This window comes from Homo sapiens, chromosome 11 (assembly GCF_000001405.40).
Source record: "Homo sapiens chromosome 11, GRCh38.p14 Primary Assembly".
NCBI lineage: Eukaryota > Metazoa > Chordata > Mammalia > Primates > Hominidae > Homo > Homo sapiens.
The window spans coordinates 124,001,576-124,023,012 of NC_000011.10; the positions used below are offsets into that span (position 1 = coordinate 124,001,576).

The following is a 21,437-nucleotide window of genomic DNA, read 5'->3' on the forward strand; positions in this document are numbered from 1 at the left end:
CTGACTTGGGTAGATTTGAAAGTGGTGAGTGAGGATTTGAATAGAAATTGAGGAAGGCCATTGGTAGCTGATGACATTGGATGCCCGTCAGAAGAGTTAATGTTAAGTATTAATTGTGGTCGCCCGATTTGAAGACATTTGCATTAGGAAGGTTTTCTGGCCTGGATGTCTGGTGTAATAGATCATTTAGAAGAACACATGGGAAAACAAGGACTGTTGGGTGTTGACTGCTTATCTGTAATGAAGACCTTAAAATCACAGTCCTCAGGTTTCAAATTTCTAACTTAATACATGGACAGAGAACCAGATTATTTCTATAACTGTCTGAGCAGAATCTGCTATCTCTTATAGAACTGGGGATAATCTAGTTAAGTTAATGAATTGCAATGTAGGTTAAATACACATACTTACTACGTTTCTTTTGTGGTAGTTAAGACATTTACTGTGAAAGGGTGGGACACTAACAGTTGGAATGGGGTCATTGGTTCTCTACCTCTCCTGGTGATTTTACATATCATATTAGTAAATTTATTTTCTGCTTATACCTAGGAAGGGCATAAAAAATTTAAGTTATTTTGGAATGGGATGGCAATTTCTAATGCAAGTAGCAGCTTACAGGAAGGGTCTGAGAGTCTCAAATCTGCCATTTTCAGATAAAGGATATACGGAAGCCCAGGGACATTCAGTGATTGTGATAAAATAATGTCTCATTTTGTTGTGGCCACTGGCTGAAATAGCAAAAACAATATGTTTTGTTTTGGTTTGGTTTTTTTTGAGATGGAGTCTCACTCTGTCACCAGGCTGGAGTGCAGTGGCATGATCTCAGCTCACTGCAACCTCTGCCTCCCAGGTTCAAGCAATTCTCCTGCTGCAGCCTCCCAAGTAGCTGGGACTATAGGCACGCACCACCACGCCCAGCTGATTTTTGTATTTTTAGTGGAGACAGGGTTTCACCCTGTTGGCCAGGATGGTCTCAATCTCTTGACCTGGTGATCCTCCCGCCTCGGCCTCCCAAAGTGCTGGGATTACAGGCATGAGCCACCGCTCCCAGCCCAACACATATCTTTGGAATGTAGATTCTTAATTATAATATCAGATGAATTTATTTTTCCAGGGTTCTCATGTAAAATTAGGAAATAATTTGAAAAGAACAGGACTCTAAAATGCAAAGGAGATTAGTGGCAAGATTTGAATGATGCAGTGCCCTGATTCCCAACTGCACATGGAATCTTCATAGCCAGAAAAATTGGTCTCTACTTCCCTGTCTGATGAGGCTATTCCTATCTTGCTTCCAGATCCAAGATGCTGCTCCAAGAAAGAGCTTTCTTCAGTCACACATCTCAGATGCCCTTCCTCCCTCCTTAGTTCACCCCCTTTCCCACATTAATTTTTGTCTGATGAAAATAAATTCTGAAAAAGTTTTTTTCATCATTTTTTATCTATCCCCTAAAGCATTTATCCTCTGAGTTACAAACAATCCAATTACACTCTTTAAGTTATTTTGTAATGTACAATTAAGTTATTATTGACTGTAGTCACCCAACTGTGCTTTCAAGTAGCAGGTCTTATTCCTTCTTTCTAACTATTTTTTGTACCCATTAACCATCCACACTTCCTCCCCAATTCCCCCATTACTCTTCCTAGACTCTGGTAACCATCCTTCTACTCTCTGTGTCCATGAGTTTAATGGGTTTGATTTTTAGCTCCCCAAAATAAATGAGAACATGTGATGTTTGTCTTTCCATGCGTGGCTTATTTCACTTGACATAATGATCTCCAGTTCCATCCATGTTGTTGCAAATCACAGGATCTCATTCTTGTTTATGGCTGAATACATACCACTTCCTTGTGTATATGTACCACATTTTCTCTATTCACTCATCTGTTGATGAGCACTTAGGGTGCTTCCAAATCTTGACTATTGTGAACAGTGCTGCAACAAACATAGGAGTGCCATTGAAGATTTGTATGCATTCTCAACATGAGTGTGTTTCCCAGACGTTCTGCATCCAATGTACCAGCTTGCTCAGATAATAGTAGTCTTATGTTATTTACTTACTGATTGGTTGATTGACACTTAGGCTCAACAGTAGCTTACATTAAATAAAGTTAAGGTACAGCAACAGAAATCTAATGGCTTGGTAAACCAAATATATAGAAGTAGATTTATCAAGTGCCACCTGTCTACTTGTGTGTAACCCATATTCCCTGAAAGAGCAAGAAACTTACTCCCTTTACCAAGTGTCTAAAAATTACATTGAGGAAGGAAACATTAGGGGCCAAGGATACTAGTAGACGGATGCAGTTGAAATGAACTTCTCAACATTACGACGATTGACGGATCATAAGTAGTGGGACTAAACTACCAGAGGAGAAGTGGAGAAAGTTATTAGAGTGAACAATAAGAGCACTGTGGTAGTCTAAATGGATCAACCAACAAAGAATTTTGGCAAACCTGAAAGCCCTTCCTTTTTGCTTAATATAATAAAATTCTATCAGATCTCATAAATAGAGGCCAAAATTAAGCCACCATGAGTGTCAATGCCATTGACCAGTTCCCTGGTTGAGTCAGTTTACTGAGTCAGTGTCATTTAAAAGCAGAGCAGGTATTCTCTACAGTAACAACACAAGCATGTGCTATGAATATTCTTCCTGGCCTTCCTCGGATGGACCTGTCTCCCTTCCGTGGATTAAATAGTCAGGGAAAATATCCAGACCATTTTAAATTTATTGAACTCTATCTTTGTGAGGTAATGAATGGAGTTTGGAACCAAGTCCACCTTAGTAGAATGTCGAATTACTCTGACCTTATTTCCTAGTTTAGGAGTGTGAAGTTGGAATTGATGTTCTTAGCAGCTGAGAGAATCTCTGTGTTGATTCCCTGACCTGGAAATAAGTAGGGGCTGTTTCGATAGAGAGGGGCATATGGAAGCCCCTGGGTATTCCAATTTCCAGTAAAAGAGTCATAAAAACTACTGCACCTTTAGGGCAGCTCACTGAGATTAATACCACTATCAACGTCTTAAAAGATTCAGGATGTAAATTTTTATCACATTTCCCTTTAACTCAGCAGTTTGATAGGTGAAGAATGACCGGGAATTGTAAGTTAACTTGGTAGCCACTAATATTATATCTCCCGATCTAGATGTGTTTTTATTGGAATATGTCAGTACAGTCACTAGCACAGTGATATTAACTGATTAATGCTTTTGTCCAAATTTCCAAATACAAAATATGTTATATGCAAACAATTTTTACATGTGAATACATAACCACATATTCATACATACATATATACATATATAATAATAAAATGTGTAATCAGGATCCAATTTGATAATAAAATGTTGCAAAACCATTAAATGAATTTATTTTTGTGCTTTTATCCCATACAGCCTCTTCTCTCCCTACCAGAGATAATGTTCCTGAAATGTCTGTTAACCTTCCCTTGATTTTCTTTATAACCTTACTGCCCCAGCCTGGCAAAGTATTGTCACCTAGTTGGTGTTATAATTGTGACTTCCAAAAGGCCATTCCACCTTTCTTTCAATCCAGCTGCTTCAGAATGATGAGGAACGTGGTAAGACCAGTGAATTCCATGATCACAAGCCCATTGATGTACTTCTTTAGCCGTAAAGTGAGTGCCTTGGTCAGAGGCAATACTCTGTAGAATACCATGATGGTCGATTAGGCATTCCATGAGTCCACAGATGGTAGTCTTGGCAGAAGCACTCCGTGCAGGATAGGCAAACCCATATCTGGAGTGTCTATTCCAGTGAGGACAAACCTCTGTCCTTTCCATTATGGAAGAAATTCAATTGAATCAACCTTCCACCAGGTAGCTGGCTGATCACCTCAAGGAATGGTGCCATATTGAGGGCTCATGGTTGGTCTCTGCTGCCAGCAAATTGGGCACTCAGCAGTGGCCATAGCCAGGTCAGCCTTGGCGAATGGAAGTCCATGTAGTTAAGCCCATTCGTAACCTCCATCCCTGCCACCATGGCCACTTTTTTCATGGGCCCATTGGGTGATGACAGAGTGCCTGGGGAAAGAGGGTGAGTGGTGTCCACAGAACAGGTCATCCTATCCACTTGATAATTAAAATCCACCTCTGCTGAGATCACCCATTGGTGAGCACTCACATGGGATACAAATATCCCCACATTTTTTGACCACTCAGAGAGGTCCATCCACATACCTCTTCTCCAAACTTCTTTGTCACCAATTTTCCATTCATGCCTCCTCCAAGTCCCTGACCATCCAGCCAAACCATTGGCTGCAGCCCACGAATCAGTATGTAATTGCATATCTGGCCATTTCTCCTTCTCCACTGCTTGAAGTTCTGCCCACTGGGAACATTTCCCTTCACTGCTGTTCTTCATGGATGTCCTAGAAAGAGGCTGTAGTGCTGCAGCTGTCCACTTTCAGGTGATGCCTGCATATCGTGCAGGACCATCAGTGAACCAGGCCCTAGTCTTTTCTTTCTCTGTCAACTGATCATAGGGAACTCCCCATGAGGCCATTGGTGTAGGCTGGGGGAGAGAAGGCAGGGTGGCAGGAGTGGAGACCATGGGCACTTGAGTTACTGCTTCATGTAACTTGCTTGTGCCTTCAAGACCTGCTTGAGCCCGATCATGTATATATCATTTCCATTTGTTTATGGGATGTCTCTGTGCACAAACCACTTTATGACTATATGGGTCAGAAAGCACCCAGTTTATAACAGGCAGTTCAGGTCGCATGGTGACTTGATGAGCCATTGATTAAATATTCTAGAACACTGGAAAACATTTATAGAAAAAATATTTAAAAAGACAAATTTGAAGTACATTTTACCTTATAATAAAACAATGAATTAATGTTTTTGTTTCCTAAAGGTTCAGAAAAATCAATAAGAAAAGACTATTAAAAGAAAGAAATAATAAAGTTATGAAGTTCTGAACAGCTAATTCACAAAGGGAGATACACTTGTCATACACATGTGATAGGGTTCTATATCATACTCTTATAAAATAATATGTATTTACTCATGTGTGTAAAAGCAATGAAAATTATGACAGCAATAATATCTAATGATTACTTATACAATCAGGAAATAATTAGATTAGGTATTTCTTTGGGAAAAGTCATTCTGAAAGTCTAAACAACAAAAAAATATTTGGGAATTTGGATCTTTTGAACCACTATTCAAACATGATGAATGAGAGAGTGATGCTGAGCTGGAGAGTGCCAACAGGTGAGGACCATTATGGATTCTGGAAAATTTTAAGTTGAGAGCAAGCAGTTGTGAGTGTTTCTCAATCATTGGTGAGGGAAAAGGATAAGTCTTTCCTTCCTCTTAGGTATAAATATTAGTTACAGGAAGGCATGTGCTGTTCTCAGGAGAGTTCAAATAAGAAACACTAAGGAATTACGTGCATGCTGATGAAGAACCTCTTATTGGTCTCTTCCTATTGTTTTTGTGTTCATCAAGGGAATCTGAAAGCCCAAGAGAAATCCCAGCCTGTGAAACACAAATTAAGTTCAGTTCCCTGCACTTCAACTAGTTTGGTCCCTGTGTAGAAATGGACCACTCTTTCTCAACACTGTGTATCTGTTCTTTGAGTGATAACTTTCAAACTAGGGCCTGAACATAGGGTATAGAAAGTAAAAACTTTTGAGAAAAAATTCTGATGAGTTTTATTATTGAAATGAATAACATACTGTAAGGTGAGTTCTTAAAGGGGCAGATTTAACTCATTTTTCCTGTTTCTCTTCATCTTCAAGTTCCATGTAGAACAATGTTACTTGGAAATCGTTAGCATTCATCCTAACTTTGGTAATCTAGTCTCTCTTCACAGATAGATAGATAGATAGATGGATAGATAGATAGATAGATAGATAGATAGATAGATAGATAGGGTAATTATCTATAGATAGATAGATAGACAGATAAAGTAATTAAGGATCTACAAATAGGGTCTAAGTTGCTACAGCATAAATGAGCAAATCAAACATTGACCCCACTCATTGACACTCCTGTCTTAAAGTCTCAGGCTATCTTGAACTTCACATGATTAAAATTTTCATATTTCATCAAATTGGAATATGAGGCTATCTTAGGGATTGGGTCCTCCTGGTGCAGTAGTTGTATTTGTTTTATTTTTGTAAGTTCTTATATCTATGTTGATGATTTCAATAATCCTATCCCTTTTATTTATTCTCATATTGGAAAAAATCTGACTTTAATGTAGCTTAAGTCACATACCTTAAAGATAGGACACATTGTATCTCAGCTCTACTAATAGCAGAGATCCTGGTTTGTTTTGTATTGGTGAAACAGTTTTATAGTATTTTCCCATAAACTATTAATAAAAATTCTGAACTAAGATGATATATTGTATTCAGTTAAAATGTAATTTCTGCTTCAATTTTAATTGTATAGAATACCAACTTTTTTCGACATCAAGCCAACATATGTCTTCCCTCCTGCTTTGGTTTCATTTTCCCTGTCTCAGGTGGTAGCTATTAAATAAGAAACATAGATTTGATGGAATTGTCTTCTCTTATAAGAACATTTTCCTAGGTTTATGAGCATGAAGAGTAGGGGAGAATGGTAGGGGCAAAACATGTTCTCTAACAAAATCAATATTAGAAAATATTTAGACATCTGGGATAGAGGTATGTGTGATACCTAGTAGGTTGTAGTTGGGAGAGCACATATGAACGTCATGTTTCTGGAGCCTCTTGGGGGATGGTGAAGTGTAAGAGAAACAGGAGGGGAGTCATGTATGAAGCCTGGTATTTTCTGGGTCATTTGGGAGGTTGTGGGAAATCCCACTATGAGTTGTGCTAAGATCCTTACCTGATCTGAGAGACTTGAGAGACACCCTTTTAAATAGAGGCAGGAATGGGGGCACCAGTAGCAGTAGCAGGAATGAATCCTTCCTCAAAATCTAGCTTTGAAATTGAGAAAACTAATCATAATAGGATAATAATAAGATATATGTATTTTCTTACTCTCCGTGATCAAAAATGGCAGTTCTGTAATACTGCTGCGAGGCATAATGTTTCATGACTCCCTGTCATTTATTGAGCGGTTATCACCTGCCAGACACAGTGCTAAGTACTTTACATGTTTCATCTTATTTAATACTTATAACTTCTCAGTCAGGTAAGTGAGGCTAGTAATACCAAGTAATATGTGAGGAAACTAGAGATGAATTTGGTATACTGTAAACTTTTGAAATATTAACTGCTACCTAAAAGTAAATTCTTAGAATTAATAAAATGTGATGGGTAGAATTCAAAATAACCTCACAGATCCCCTAGACCACCTTCGTTGTATATCCTCCCTATATAATCACTGTCCCCTTAGTGTGGGTGGGACTTGGGAAAATGACAGGATTTCACTCCACTGATTCCATTATATTACATAATACATTAGCAGAGCAAACTGGAGAGAGATTTTCTTGCTGGTATTAAAGAAGTAAGCTGTCATGTTGTAGAAGGCCAGGTAATGAGGATCCTAGGATCTAGGATGGCTTCTATAAGCTGAGAGTGATATGCCCTGCCAACAACCAACAGGAAAACTGGGACATCAGTCCTAAAACTGTAAGGAACTGAATCGTGCCAAAAGCAATAATCTTGGAGGATGATCCCAAGCCTCAAATGAAATTGCAGCCTCTGGCTGATATACTGATTAAAACCTGCTGAGACCTTGAGCAGAGGGTCCAACTGACCTGACCCACAGAGAGGGTTAAATAATAAATTTACATGCTTTATGCCACTGTTTATGGTCATTTTTAATATATCAGTGAAAATCTAATACAGTGTGTTTCTTCTACTTTCTTCTGCATGTGGGTCTCTATTTATGTGTGTTTGTGTTTGAGTAACAGAGAGAGAGAGAGAGAGAAAGATTGGAAAATTACTTCATCTTTATGAAAGAAGCTTTGTAACAGGGAAGGCCAGGATAACTGTAGAATTATCTACCATGGTTGATGCCGTTTCCACATAGAGAATGGGTTATCAGTTCTCAATTAACTGCTACATGCTGGATGCTCTTTATATCCCAGTGGGGAGAGAGATGAAGGGTGAGAAGAAATGTCCAACTCATGACAGCATTCATCCTCATGGACCTTCCCCATGTCCCAGCTCTGGACGCCCCACTCTTTGGAGTCTTCCTGGTGGTTTATGTGCTTACTGTGCTGGGGAACCTCCTCATCCTGCTGGTGATCAGGGTGTACTCTCACCTCCACACCCCCAAGTACTACTTCCTCACCAATCTGTCCTTCATTGACTTGTGGTTCTTCACTGTCATGGTGCCCAAAATGCCGAGGACCTTGTTGTCCCTGTGTGGCAAGGCTGTGTCCTTCCACAGTTGTATGACCCAACTCTATTTCTTCTACTTCCTGGGGAGCACCGAGTGTTTGCTCTACACGGTCATGTCCTATGATCGCTATAGAGGAAATACTCAGCACTTCCCAGGTAGTGAAAACACTCCCCACGAAGTGAGCCAAATGCTAGTGGCCCGGGGGGCACACGGGCTCCCACTCATCATCCTGGCAGATCTGAGTGGGTAACTAAGAGTTGATAGTTCTTAGTGGGCAATTCAAAATTAGTAATATAATTTAGTTATCCAAGTGAAATTTATTACATGTATAGGTCTCAGCATTAAACATTATTCCAAACAACTTGCACAGTTATAATTCTTTCACAGATTATCTAAGACATTTTTAAATTCACAGCTAGATTTTTATTTATGATGAACATGCTTGTAGTATCTATTGATGCATTTCTCATCAATAGATTTTTTTAACTTTTAAAAATATATATATATATATATTGTAGTTGGGTCTCAGGGATACACAGTGGAATCATTCATATATGTGAGCTGATGATATGCTTTTGTATTTTTTTGTGTGTACACAAAAATTTAAGAATTTACAATCGTGGGGGATATCGTTTAAGGATAACAAATATGAGAGGTCATTTTTCTGTTTGTGGCTATTTCTATTTAAATATCTTTTTGGTTGTTTTAGTATATCTATGCATTTGTACATGTATATACAAATCCAAATGTATGCAAAAGAAAGCATATAATATATAATGTATAGATATGTTAATGAAAATTCAACACACACACACACATATACATTTATATGTACATATATCCCCTAAAATATTATTTGTAGAAACACCGTATTAAATTGGCAGAGATAGCAAACTATTCAAAATGACTATCAAATAATGAATGTAATATAAATTGTTGTATATTCACACAATGGATTACTATACAGCAATGATAATATATGATCTATAGCTACATGTAAGATGATATATGCATTTATCTTTTGTGCTCATTTATGTTTATTAACATTCAATATAAAAAAATTAAATATCTAGATCAGTGAGGGCAATCTTGCCCTGCCAGTTTTGCTTAGCAATGTCTGGAGATATTGTTGCAGGTCACAGGTGCTTGCATCCAGTGGCTAGAGGTCAGGGATGTGGGTAAACATCCCATAGTGCATAGCACAGACCCTCATCACAAGGCTTATCTTGCTCGAAACATTCATTGTGCTGAATATGAGAAACCTTGATCTGACTTTAACTTTAAGTAAAAATGTGTGAGACCACTACAATAGAAATAACAAGACATTTTCAAAGAAATATAAAAGTTGCTGAAGAAATTGGGCATTACTATATGCATATAAAATGGAAGATTCATATTTTAAAGTCACCAATTCTCTTTGAATTGATATATAGATTCAATGTAATTCCAATAAAATCCCAGCATTTGATTTTGCAGATATGAATATGTAGATCCTACGGTGTATATTGAAATGAAATGGATCAGGAAAATGATCAAGGCAGTCTTGCAGAAATAAAATACAGTCAAAAGATACACAACACCAGATACCAAAACCTATTATGAAGTTATAGTAATTCAGAAAGTGTAGAATTGGTATAAGTATTTGTATGGAAATGAAGAGAGGATGAAAGAAATAGACTTGTATATATTCATATAACAAAGATGGCACTTCAGTGCAGTAAATCAATAATGGTTTCTTCAATACATTATTTAGAGTTATTGGGTTTTCAGAATGAAAAAATAATCTTGACCCTATCTCATATTATACACATAAAAAATCAATTACAATGGATAGGAGATAAAAATGCAGTAGATTTTATGACATTCAGTTAGTAAATATATTTCAAAGAAAACAGACAGAAGAAGCTAACCATAAAAATGATACATTAAAGTTATTACATTTTGAAATAGAAAATTTTCAGCTTATTTTCTTTGCATATAATGTAATAAAACCAGAGTTTAATAAGCAAGTTATAAGACAGAAAACAAAACCATGAGAATTTAAACAAAATCCATAAAAACACCTTCTGTTAATGAGGTAATTATAACTATAATTAAAATTATATAGCAAATAAAAACATCCTGATGTTACATGTGAAGTAAAATTAACTTCCAATGAAATAGGGATATAATGAAGGAAAAAAAAACTTAAAGCATTAGATATTATATAAGTGAAAAGTAATAAGCCTGTGTACAAGAAAATCCTTTGAAAGCAAAATACTAACACCAGAAATATATTGGAATCAATTCATAAACTATCCTAGAACATTAAAATCATCTGTACAAATAAAAATTATTTAACAAAAATTTGAGCACATTTTATCTTACAATAAAACAAAGAATTAATGTTTTTAATTTGTAAAACTTCAGACAAGTTAATAAGATAAAGACTATTATCTAAAAGGAAAGAAGTCGGTAAAGATCTTAAAAAGTTGATTTTCAAAAGGAGATATATGCATGAAATGTTGAACAGTGTTTACTCATGCTTGTAAAAGCAATGAAAATTATGACAGCAGTGCTATCTAGTTATTACTTATACAACTGGGAAATAATTATTTTAGGTAGGTTTATCTTTGGGGAAGAGCCATTCTGAAACTCTAAACAACAAAAAAAGTTTGGGAATTTGGGTGTTTTGAACCACTATACAAAGACGAATGAGAGAGTGATGCTGAGCTGCAGAGCACCAAATGAGGACAATTATGGATTCTGGAAAATTTTAAGTTGAGAGCAAGCAGTTGTGAGTGTCTCTCAATCACTGGTGAGGGAAAAGAGTAAGTCATTCCTCCTTCTTTCCTCTTAGATACAAATATTAGTTCCAGGAAGATAAGGACTCTTCTCAGGAGGGTTCAAATAAGAAACACTAAGGAAATGCATGCATGCTTATGAAGAACTTTTCATTGGTCTCTTCCTGTTGTTTTGTGCTCCTCAGGGGAACCCAAAAGCCCCAGAGCAATCCCATCCTCTGAGACACAAATCAAGTTAAGTTCCTGCCCATGTTCATTTCCATTCCCTGCACTTCAACTAGTTTGGTCCTTAAATAGAAATGGACCACTCTTTCTCAACACTGTGCACCGGTTGTTTGAGTGATATCTTGCAAACTAGTGCCTATACGTAGTGGGTAGAAAGTGAAAAATTGGGGGAAAAAGTTAGATGAGTTTTACTACTGAGAAGAATCACATACTGCAAGGTGAGTCCTTAGAAATGCAGATTTAAACTTATTTTCTCTATCTTCCCTTCTTTTCTTTATCTTAACTTTAATTCAGAGCTAAGATATTCAGGAATTATTAGAATGTGTTCTAAAATTGATCTAAAATTAATCAAGGTAGAGTGATGTAATTGAGGTTATACAAATAGGGACCAAATGTCTTCATCAGGGATAGTCAAGGCAAACATTGTCTTTACTGATTGAGACTCCTGCCTTAAGTATCAGGGAACAATGGACTTCACCTCATAAAATTTTCATATTTCATAAAATCTGATTATGCTGTATTCCTGAGGATTGGGTCCTGCTGGTACAGTAGAAATTTCAGAGTTATAGGTTCTATTTTTAAGGTTCTGATATCCATGTCGGTGATTATAATAATGCTGCTTCTGCTATTTATTTACATGTTTGAAAACCCTTGCTTTAATGTAGCTTCAGCTGCATTTCCTGGTGGTAATGTCAGGATACATTTTACCTGGGTTCTGTAAACTGCAGATATCCTGGTTTCTTCCATATCAGTGAATCAGTTTCATAGTCTTCCCCACAGAACAATTCATAACAAGCCTAGACTAAGAAAACATTTTGTATGCAGTTAAAAACATCATTTCAACCTGAATACCAATTGTACAGAATCTCAGCTTTTCTGGACATCACGCCAATATATATCCTTCCTCTTGCATTGGTTCTGTTTTCCTGTCTTAGGTGGCAGGTATTAAAAAAGAAACATAGACTTGAAAGAATTGTCTTTTATTATGCATTGCCTGGGGTTATGAATATGTGGAGGAGGGGAAGATCATGGGGGGCAAAATGTTATCTCTAACGAAGCCAATATTAGGAAACATTTACACATCTAGGATAGAGTGATGTACAACAGAAAGCTAGCCCCTATCTAGTAGATTGTAGTTGGGAGAGCACATATGAACATCATGTTCTTAGAACCTCCCAGGGGATGGCCTAGTGTAAGAGAAACAGGGCCAGTCATGTATGAAGCTTGGTGCTCTCTGGATAATTTGGGAGGTGGGAGGTTGTAGGAATCCCACTATAGAGTTGTGCTGAGATTCTTACCTTCTCTAAGAGACCTAGGAGAAGCCCTTTAAAAGCAGGCAATAGTAAGGACATCAGTAACAATATTGGGCATGAAATAGTCCACAAAGACATAGCTCTTAGATTAAGGACTCTCTGAAAACACTCAGAGAATATATGAACTCTATCTAAGACAAAGAATGGCAAATCCATAACACTGCTGCGAGGCACAATGTCATAAAACTCACTATCATTTATCAAGCAGTTATTACCTGCCAGGGATAGTATTTAGTCAGGGAATTCCCTGATCCCTTGCGCTTCCCAGATGAAGCGATGCCTCGCCCTGCTTCGGCTCACACATGGTGTGCTGCACCCACTGTCCTGCACCCACTTTCCGGCACTCCCCAGTGAGGTGAACCTGGTACCTCAGTTGGAAATGCATGTACGTATATATACATATATAACCTTATTTAATGCTGATAATTTATCAGCGAGGTGGGTGATGTTAGTGATGTCAAATATAATAACATATGAGGAAACTAGTGGATAATTTATGTGTATTGTGTTTCATTCCTAGTAACAATTAAATTCTTGCTCTTTTAAGTTTTCCCATGAACTCTGCAATGAAAATAGAATATGGTAGGTGGAATCCCAAGGAGCCCTCTAAATTCCTGCCCACTGGTGTACATTTCCTATTTAATAACCTTTCAGTGTGCATGGGACCTGTGACTATGATGGGCTATCACCCCAATTACAATTATGTTACAGAACATTTTGCTACAGTAAACTGGACAGAGATTCTTTTCCTGAATTTGAAGAAGTAAGCTGTCATGTCATCGAAGGCCAGGTGAGGAGGATTTTAGGACATAGGGTGACCTCTGTAAAATGAGATTGATATGTCCTGCCAAAAACCAGCAAAAAAACAGAGACCTCTGCCCAAAAACTGCAAGAATGGGATACTGCCAACACCTGCAATAGACTTGGAAGAGGACTGTGGTCCTCCCATGAGATTTCAGCTTCTGGGGACACATTGATTGAGACCTGTTGAGACTCTCAGCAGAGGGTCCAGCTGACCTGGCCCACAGAGAGGGTGAGATAAAAATTTTACACGTTTTATGGCACTAAGTTTGTGTTATTTTTTAATATATCAATGGAAATCTAATATAGTGTTTCTCTACTTTCTTCTGCATGTGTGTCTCTGTGTGTGTGCACCTGTGTGCATGTGTGTGAGAGAGGCTGAAATAATTTCATCATCATCTCTGTGAGGGAAGCTTTGTAACAAGCGAAGTGCAGGATAACTCCAGAATTATCTACCTGGTTGATGCAGTTTCCACATAGAGAATGGATTCTCATTTCTCAATTAAGTGCTAAATGCTGGGTGCTCTTTATATCCCCAGAGGGAGAGAGACCAAGGGTGAGAAGAAATGTCCAACGCCAGCCTCGTGACAGCATTCATCCTCACAGGCCTTCCCCATGCCCCAGGGCTGGACGCCCTCCTCTTTGGAATCTTCCTGGTGGTTTACGTGCTCACTGTGCTGGGGAACCTCCTCATCCTGCTGGTGATCAGGGTGGATTCTCACCTCCACACCCCCATGTACTACTTCCTCACCAACCTGTCCTTCATTGACATGTGGTTCTCCACTGTCACGGTGCCCAAAATGCTGATGACCTTGGTGTCCCCAAGCGGCAGGGCTATCTCCTTCCACAGCTGCGTGGCTCAGCTCTATTTTTTCCACTTCCTGGGGAGCACCGAGTGTTTCCTCTACACAGTCATGTCCTATGATCGCTACTTGGCCATCAGTTACCCGCTCAGGTACACCAGCATGATGAGTGGGAGCAGGTGTGCCCTCCTGGCCACCGGCACTTGGCTCAGTGGCTCTCTGCACTCTGCTGTCCAGACCATATTGACTTTCCATTTGCCCTACTGTGGACCCAACCAGATCCAGCACTACTTCTGTGACGCACCGCCCATCCTGAAACTGGCCTGTGCAGACACCTCAGCCAACGTGATGGTCATCTTTGTGGACATTGGGATAGTGGCCTCAGGCTGCTTTGTCCTGATAGTGCTGTCCTATGTGTCCATCGTCTGTTCCATCCTGCGGATCCGCACCTCAGATGGGAGGCGCAGAGCCTTTCAGACCTGTGCCTCCCACTGTATTGTGGTCCTTTGCTTCTTTGTTCCCTGTGTTGTCATTTATCTGAGGCCAGGCTCCATGGATGCCATGGATGGAGTTGTGGCCATTTTCTACACTGTGCTGACGCCCCTTCTCAACCCTGTTGTGTACACCCTGAGAAACAAGGAGGTGAAGAAAGCTGTGTTGAAACTTAGAGACAAAGTAGCACATCCTCAGAGGAAATAAATACTAGGAAGTAAATACACTAGTTTGTTTAAAAATAGTAATCTAATTTAGTTATTCATGTGAAATTGATTATATGTATAGTTCTCAGTGTTAAACTTTATTCCAAAACACCTGCACAGTTATAATTCTTCCACAGATTGTCTAAGACAGTTTTAACCTCACAGCTAGACTTATATTTATGATGAACATGATTATATTCTGAATTATTGACTCATTTCTCATCAATAGGTTTATATTAAGTTTAAAACATATTTTAATCAAATCTCAGGGATAGATGATTAATTCATGTTTATAAATTGATAAACGGTTTTTGTGTTTTGTTTGATTTCATATACACATAAACTTAAGAATTTACCATCATGGAGACATAGTTCAAAACCAGCAACAAATATTATTCAAAACCAGCAAAAAATATCATTTTTCTAATTGTGGCTGTTCAAATTTGTTTTTGGTTTTAACGTATCTATATATTTGTATGTGTATATACTATTCCAAACATGTATACAAAAGAAAGTACATGACATTTAGCATATTTAACATATAGGTTTTCATATATTTATGTATGTGTATGTATTTGCCTATTTACATATATATCTGAAAACATTTCTAGAAACACTATTTTAATTGGCAAGAATAGCTAGCTATTAATATTTAAAATATTACCAATGAATCAATTAGAAATTGTATACTCACAGAATAGATTACTATCCAGCAATGATAACGAATGATCTAACAACTACATATATAATTGTTTACGCACTTTATACATTTGCACCCATTTTTAATGTTTGTTAAGATCCAATATAAAAAATTAAATCTCTTAAATATCTAGATTACTTGGGGCTGTTTTGTCTCCTAGTTCACTTGGCAATGTCTGGAAATATTCTTGCTTGTCACAGGCACTGGCGTCTATTGGCTATAGGTCAGGAGTGTTAAACATTCCACAATGCACAGGAGAGACCCTCACAACAAAACTTACCATGGCCAAATGCCGATAGTGCTGAGGATGAGAACCCGGAGCTGAATTTAATTTTAAGCGACATGTGTAAGACCACGACAATAGAAATAAAATATTTTCAGATAAATATAAAATTTGCTGAATGAATCTAGGATTATAAAGTGCACATGGAGACTCATATTTTTAAAATGCCAATTCCATTCAAATTGATCTATAGATTTGATGCTATTCCAAGTAAAATCCCAGCGTTTGATTTTGCAGCTATGGACATGTGGATCTTAAAGTGCGGATTGAAATGGAATGAGTCCCAAAATGGTCAAGAATCTCTTGAAGAAATAAAGGATAACTGAAAGATTGACAACACTAGTTATCACAACTTATGGCAAAGCTCTAGTAACTCAGAGAGTGTTGCATTTGTATGAGACTAGACAAATAGAAAAACGGAACTGAATACAGAGTAAAGAAATAGACTGATACATATTCGTATGACAAAGATGACACTGCAAAGCAATAAAGCATGATTGCTTTCTTGAATAAATTATTTTGGGGTATCTGGGTATTCAGAATAAAAAAAATTAGTCTCGATCCTATTTCATACTATACACATAAAAAACTCAATTATAGTAGATAAGAGATATAAATGTGGTGGACTGTATGACACTTCTTTAGGTAAGACACTTTTTAGTGATGCAAAACCTTCTTGGAAAAAAATTAATTAAAATACTTTTTTAAATTTATTTTTTATTATTATACTTTAAGTTCTGGCATACATGTGCACAACGTGCAGGTTTGTTATGTAGCAATACATGTGCCATGTTGGTTTGCTGCACCCATCAACTCATCGGTTACATTAGGTATTTCCCCTAATGCTATCCCTCCCCCAGCCCCCCACCCCCCAAAAGGCCCCCTTGTGTGATGTTCCCCTCCCTGTGTCCATGTGTTCTCATTGTTCAACTCCCACTTATGAGTGAGAACATGTGGTGTTGGTTTTCTCTTCTTGTGTTACTTTGCTGGAAGATATTAGTTTCCAGTTTCATCAATGTCCCTACAAAGAACATGAACTCATCCTTTCTTATGGCTGCATAGTATTCCATGGTGTATATGTGCCACATTTTCTTTATCCAGTCTATCATTGATGGACATTTGGGTGGGTTCCAAGTCTTTGCTATTGTGAACAATGCTGCAATAAACATACATGTGCATGTGTCTTTATAGTAGCATGATTTATAATCCTTTGGGTATATACCCAGTAACGGGATTGCTGGGTCAAATGGTATTTCTAGTTCTAGATTCTTGAGGAATCGTGACACTGTCTTCCACAATGGTTGAACTAATTTACACTCCCACCAACTTTAAAAGCGTTCCCATTTCTCCACATCCTGTCCAGCATCTGTTGTTTCCTGACTTTTTAATGATCACCATTCTAGCTGGCATGAGATGGTGTCTCATTGTGGTTTTGATTTGCATTTCTCTAATGACCAGTGATGATGTGCATTTGTTTGCAATAAAAATTTTAAAGAAAATAAACAAACAAAGCTAACCAAAAAATAATACATGAGACTAAAGTCATTACATTTTAAAATAGAAATTTTGCCACTCATTTTCTTTGATAATAATGTAATAAAACTAGAGGTTAATAAGCAAAGTATAAGAGAGAATATAAAAATAATTGAGATCTTAAATCAAATTTTTTAAGAAGAAACCCACTTCAGTTAATAAGGTAATTACAACTACAATCTCAAATTATATAGAAAATAAAAACATGCTTATGTCACACATAAAGTAAAATTAATTTCAGATGAAATAAAGATTTAAATGAAGGAAAAAAACCTTAAAGCAGTAAATATTATGTAAGTGAAAACTGATAAACTTGTATGCAAGAAGTTGGTTTTGTTTTTTGTTTGTTTGTTTGTTTGTTTTTGAGACAGGGTCTGGCTCTGTCGCTCAGGCTGGAGTGCCGTAGCACCATCTCCACTCACTGTAACCTTGGCCTCCTAGGCTCAAGTGATCCTTCCACCTCAGCCTCCTGAGTAGCTGGGTCTACAGGCACTCACCACCATGCCTAGCTAATTTTTGTATTTTTTGCACAGACGGGGTTTCACCATGTTGCCCAGGCTGGTTTCCAATTCCTGGGCTCAAGTGATCTGCCTGCCTTGGCCTCCCAAAGTGCTGAGATTACAGGTGTGAGCCACCAATATAGGCGAAGAAAATCCTTTTAAAGCAAAATACTGACATCAGAAAACATAGTAGAATCAATTTATAAAATTTCCTTGAACAGTAAACATATCTATACAAATTTAAAAACATTTAAATGGCAATAAATTTGAAAGTACATTTTACCTTACAGTGAAAAACAAATTAATGCTTTCAATTTGTAAAACTTCAGATAAATCAATAAGATAAAGACTATTACCACGAAAAAAGCAATGAATAAAGATTCTAAAAAGTTAATCTTCGAAAGGAGATGTACACATGAAATATCAAAAGTGTTTATTCAGGCTTGCAAAAGCAATGAAAATGATAACAGCAATAATATGTAATGATTACTTATACAATTGGGATATAATTACGTTAGGTAGGTAGATCTCTGGGGAAAAGCCACCCTGAAACTGTAAACAACAGAAAAACTTTGGGAATTTGGATCTTTTGAACCACCATACAAAAATGGTGAATGAGATGGTGAGGCTGAGCTGGAGAGCGCCAACAAATTTTCCAGGACCATTATGGATCATTGAAAATTTAGAGTAGAGAGCGAGCAGTTATGAGTGTCTCTCAATCACTGGTGAGGGAAAAGGATAAGTCAGTCCTCCTTCTTTCTTCGTATGTATAAATATTGGTTCCAGAAAGACACTGGGCTCTTCTCAGGGGGGTTCAAATAAGAAACACTAAGGAAATGCATGCATGCTCATGAAGAACTTTTCATTGGCCTCTTCCTGTTGTTTTGTGCTCATCAAGGGAACCCAAAATCCCAAGAGCAATTCCATCTTCTGAGACATAAATCAAGTTAAGTTCCTACCCATCTTCATTTCCATTCCCTGCACTTCCACTAGTTTGGTCCTTGAATAGAAAGGGACCACTCTTTCTTAACACCATGTGTCTGTTCTTTGAGTGGTATCCGGCAAACTTGGCACCTGTACACAGCATGTGGAAAGTGACAAATTGGGGCAAAAACTCAGATGAGTTTTACTGTTAAAATGAATCACATACTATAAGGTGAGTTCTTAGAAATGTAGATTTAACTTATTTTCTCCTGCTTTCCCTCTTTTCTTTATCTCAAACTTTAATTCAGACAATTAGAGAATTGTTAAGACTTTGTCATAAAATCCGTTAGATAGACAGATAGATAGAGACAAAGTCGCTACATATACTACTATATGCTAATATTCAACTCAAACATTGACCCTGCGGATTGAAACTCTTGCTTTAGACTCCACTGGATGAGGATTTTCACATTCCATCAAAACCGATCATGAAGCTCTGCTGGGGATTCGTCCTCTTGGTACAGTAGAAATTTCAAAGTAATACTGGTTCCATTTTAAAAGTTCTGATATGCATGCTGGTGATTACAGTAGCCTCCTTTCTGCAATTTATTTACATATTTGACAAACCTTCCTTTAACGTAGCTTAAGCCACATTCCCTGGAGGTATCTTAACTGGGCTTTGAGAAGAGTAGAGACTATAATTTCTCTCATATCGATGAACAAGTTTCATAGTGTTCTCCCACTGAACAATTAGTAAGAATCCTGAACTAATACAACATTTTGTATTAAGTAAAAAATCTTACTTCTGCCTCAATTTCCATTATACAGAATCCCAGCTTCTCTTGACATCAAGGTGGCATAGGCCTCTCTTCTTGCATTGGTCCCATTTTTTTCCTGTCTCATGTTCTAGGTCTTAATTGAGAGGCACAGACTTCATGGAATTGTCTTCTCTTGTGAGATGATTCATTACCTGGATTTATGAGAATAAGGAGTAGAGGAAGATGGTGAGGGGCCAACATGTGATATCTAACAAAGTTAATATTAGAATATATTTAGAAACCTAGGATAGAAGGAGAATGCAAGACAGCTGGCACCTACCCAGTAGATTGTGTTTGGGAGAGCACATATGAATGCCATGTTCTCAGAACCACATAGGAAGTGTTCTAGGGTAACAGAAATGGGGGTGGGGGCAGTCACGTAAGAAGCTTGGTGCTCTCTGGATGATTTGGGAGGACATGGGAATCCTACTATAGAGTTATGCTGAGATTCTTACCTGCTCTGAGAGACCTAGGAGAAGCCCTTTAAAAGCAGGCAGTAGTGAGGACATCAGTAACTGTATCAGGGATACAATAGTACAAAAAGACCTAGCTCTTAGATTCAGAACTCTCTGAAAACACTGAAAGAATATATGTACTCTCTTTCTCTCTAAGATCAAAAACAGCAATTCCATAATACTGCTGCAAGGCACAATGTGGTAAGACTCACTGTGATTTATTGAGCAGTTATTACCTGCCAGTCACAGTACTACGTGTTTAAATGTATCATCTTATTTAATGCTTATAATTTCTCGGTGAGTAGGTGATGTTAGTAATGCCAAATAACATAAGAGGGAACTAGAGAATGATTTACTAGTACTGTTCAGTTTTCAAATACTCCTTGCTACTAATAATTAAATTCTTGGTGTTTTTTTTTTAAGTTTTCCCACGAGCAAGGCAGCGAAAATAGAATGTGGTAGATAGAATTCCAAGCAGCCTTCAAGATTCTTGCCCACTGGTATACACTTTCTGTTTAATAACCTTCCTTTGAGTATGCCTGGGACCTGTTAATATGATGGGATATCACCCCTTTGACTGCATTATGTAACATTATATAACATTTTGTCATAGCAAACTGGAGAGAGTTTATCTCATTGGTTTCAAAGAAGTAACCTGTTGTGTTTTAAGAAGACCAAGTAGCTAGGACTTTCTAGCACCTAGGGGGACCTCTGTAAGGTGAGAGTGATATGTCCTGCCAACAAACAGCAAGAAAACTGGGACCTCAGTCCTAAAACTACAAGGAATTGAATCATGCACACAACCCCCATAAGGTTGGAAGATGATCCCAGCCTCAGATGAGATTGCAGCCCCTGGCGATACATTGATTAAAACCTGGTGAGACCCTGAACAGGGAACCCAGCTGACCTGACCCACAGAAAGGGCGAGACAATAAATTTGCATGTTTTAAGCCAGTAAGTTTGTGGTAATTTATGCACCCATTGAAATCGAGACAATGTGTTTCTCCTAATTTATTCTGCGTATGTCTCTGTGTGTGTGTTTGTATGTGACAGAGAGAGAGAGAGAGAGAGAGAGAGAGAGAGAGAGAGAGAGAGAGAGAGAGAGAGAGAGACTAGGAAATCACTTCATTAGCTTTATGAAGGAAGCTTTGTAACAAGCAAAGTCCATGAAAACTCCAGAATTATCTACCTGGTTTTCACATAGAGAATGACTTCTCAGTTATCAATTAATTGGTAAATGCTGGGTGCTCCTTATATCCCCAGAGGGAGAGAGACCAAGGGTGAGAAGAA

General features: G+C 37.8%; 1 protein-coding gene and 1 pseudogene across 1 annotated transcript; both read left to right on the forward strand.

The window, feature by feature from the left end:
- OR10G5P (olfactory receptor family 10 subfamily G member 5 pseudogene) lies at positions 7,937-8,841 on the forward strand (annotated as a pseudogene).
- Positions 11,422-17,157, forward strand: OR10G4 (olfactory receptor family 10 subfamily G member 4). The gene is made up of 2 exons (NM_001004462.2): positions 11,422-11,537; positions 13,973-17,157. Exon 2 carries the CDS (start codon positions 14,000-14,002, stop codon positions 14,933-14,935), a length of 936 nt encoding a protein of 311 aa, NP_001004462.1. The 5' UTR covers positions 11,422-11,537; positions 13,973-13,999; the 3' UTR covers positions 14,936-17,157.
- The last annotated feature ends 4,280 nt before the right edge of the window (positions 17,158-21,437 follow it).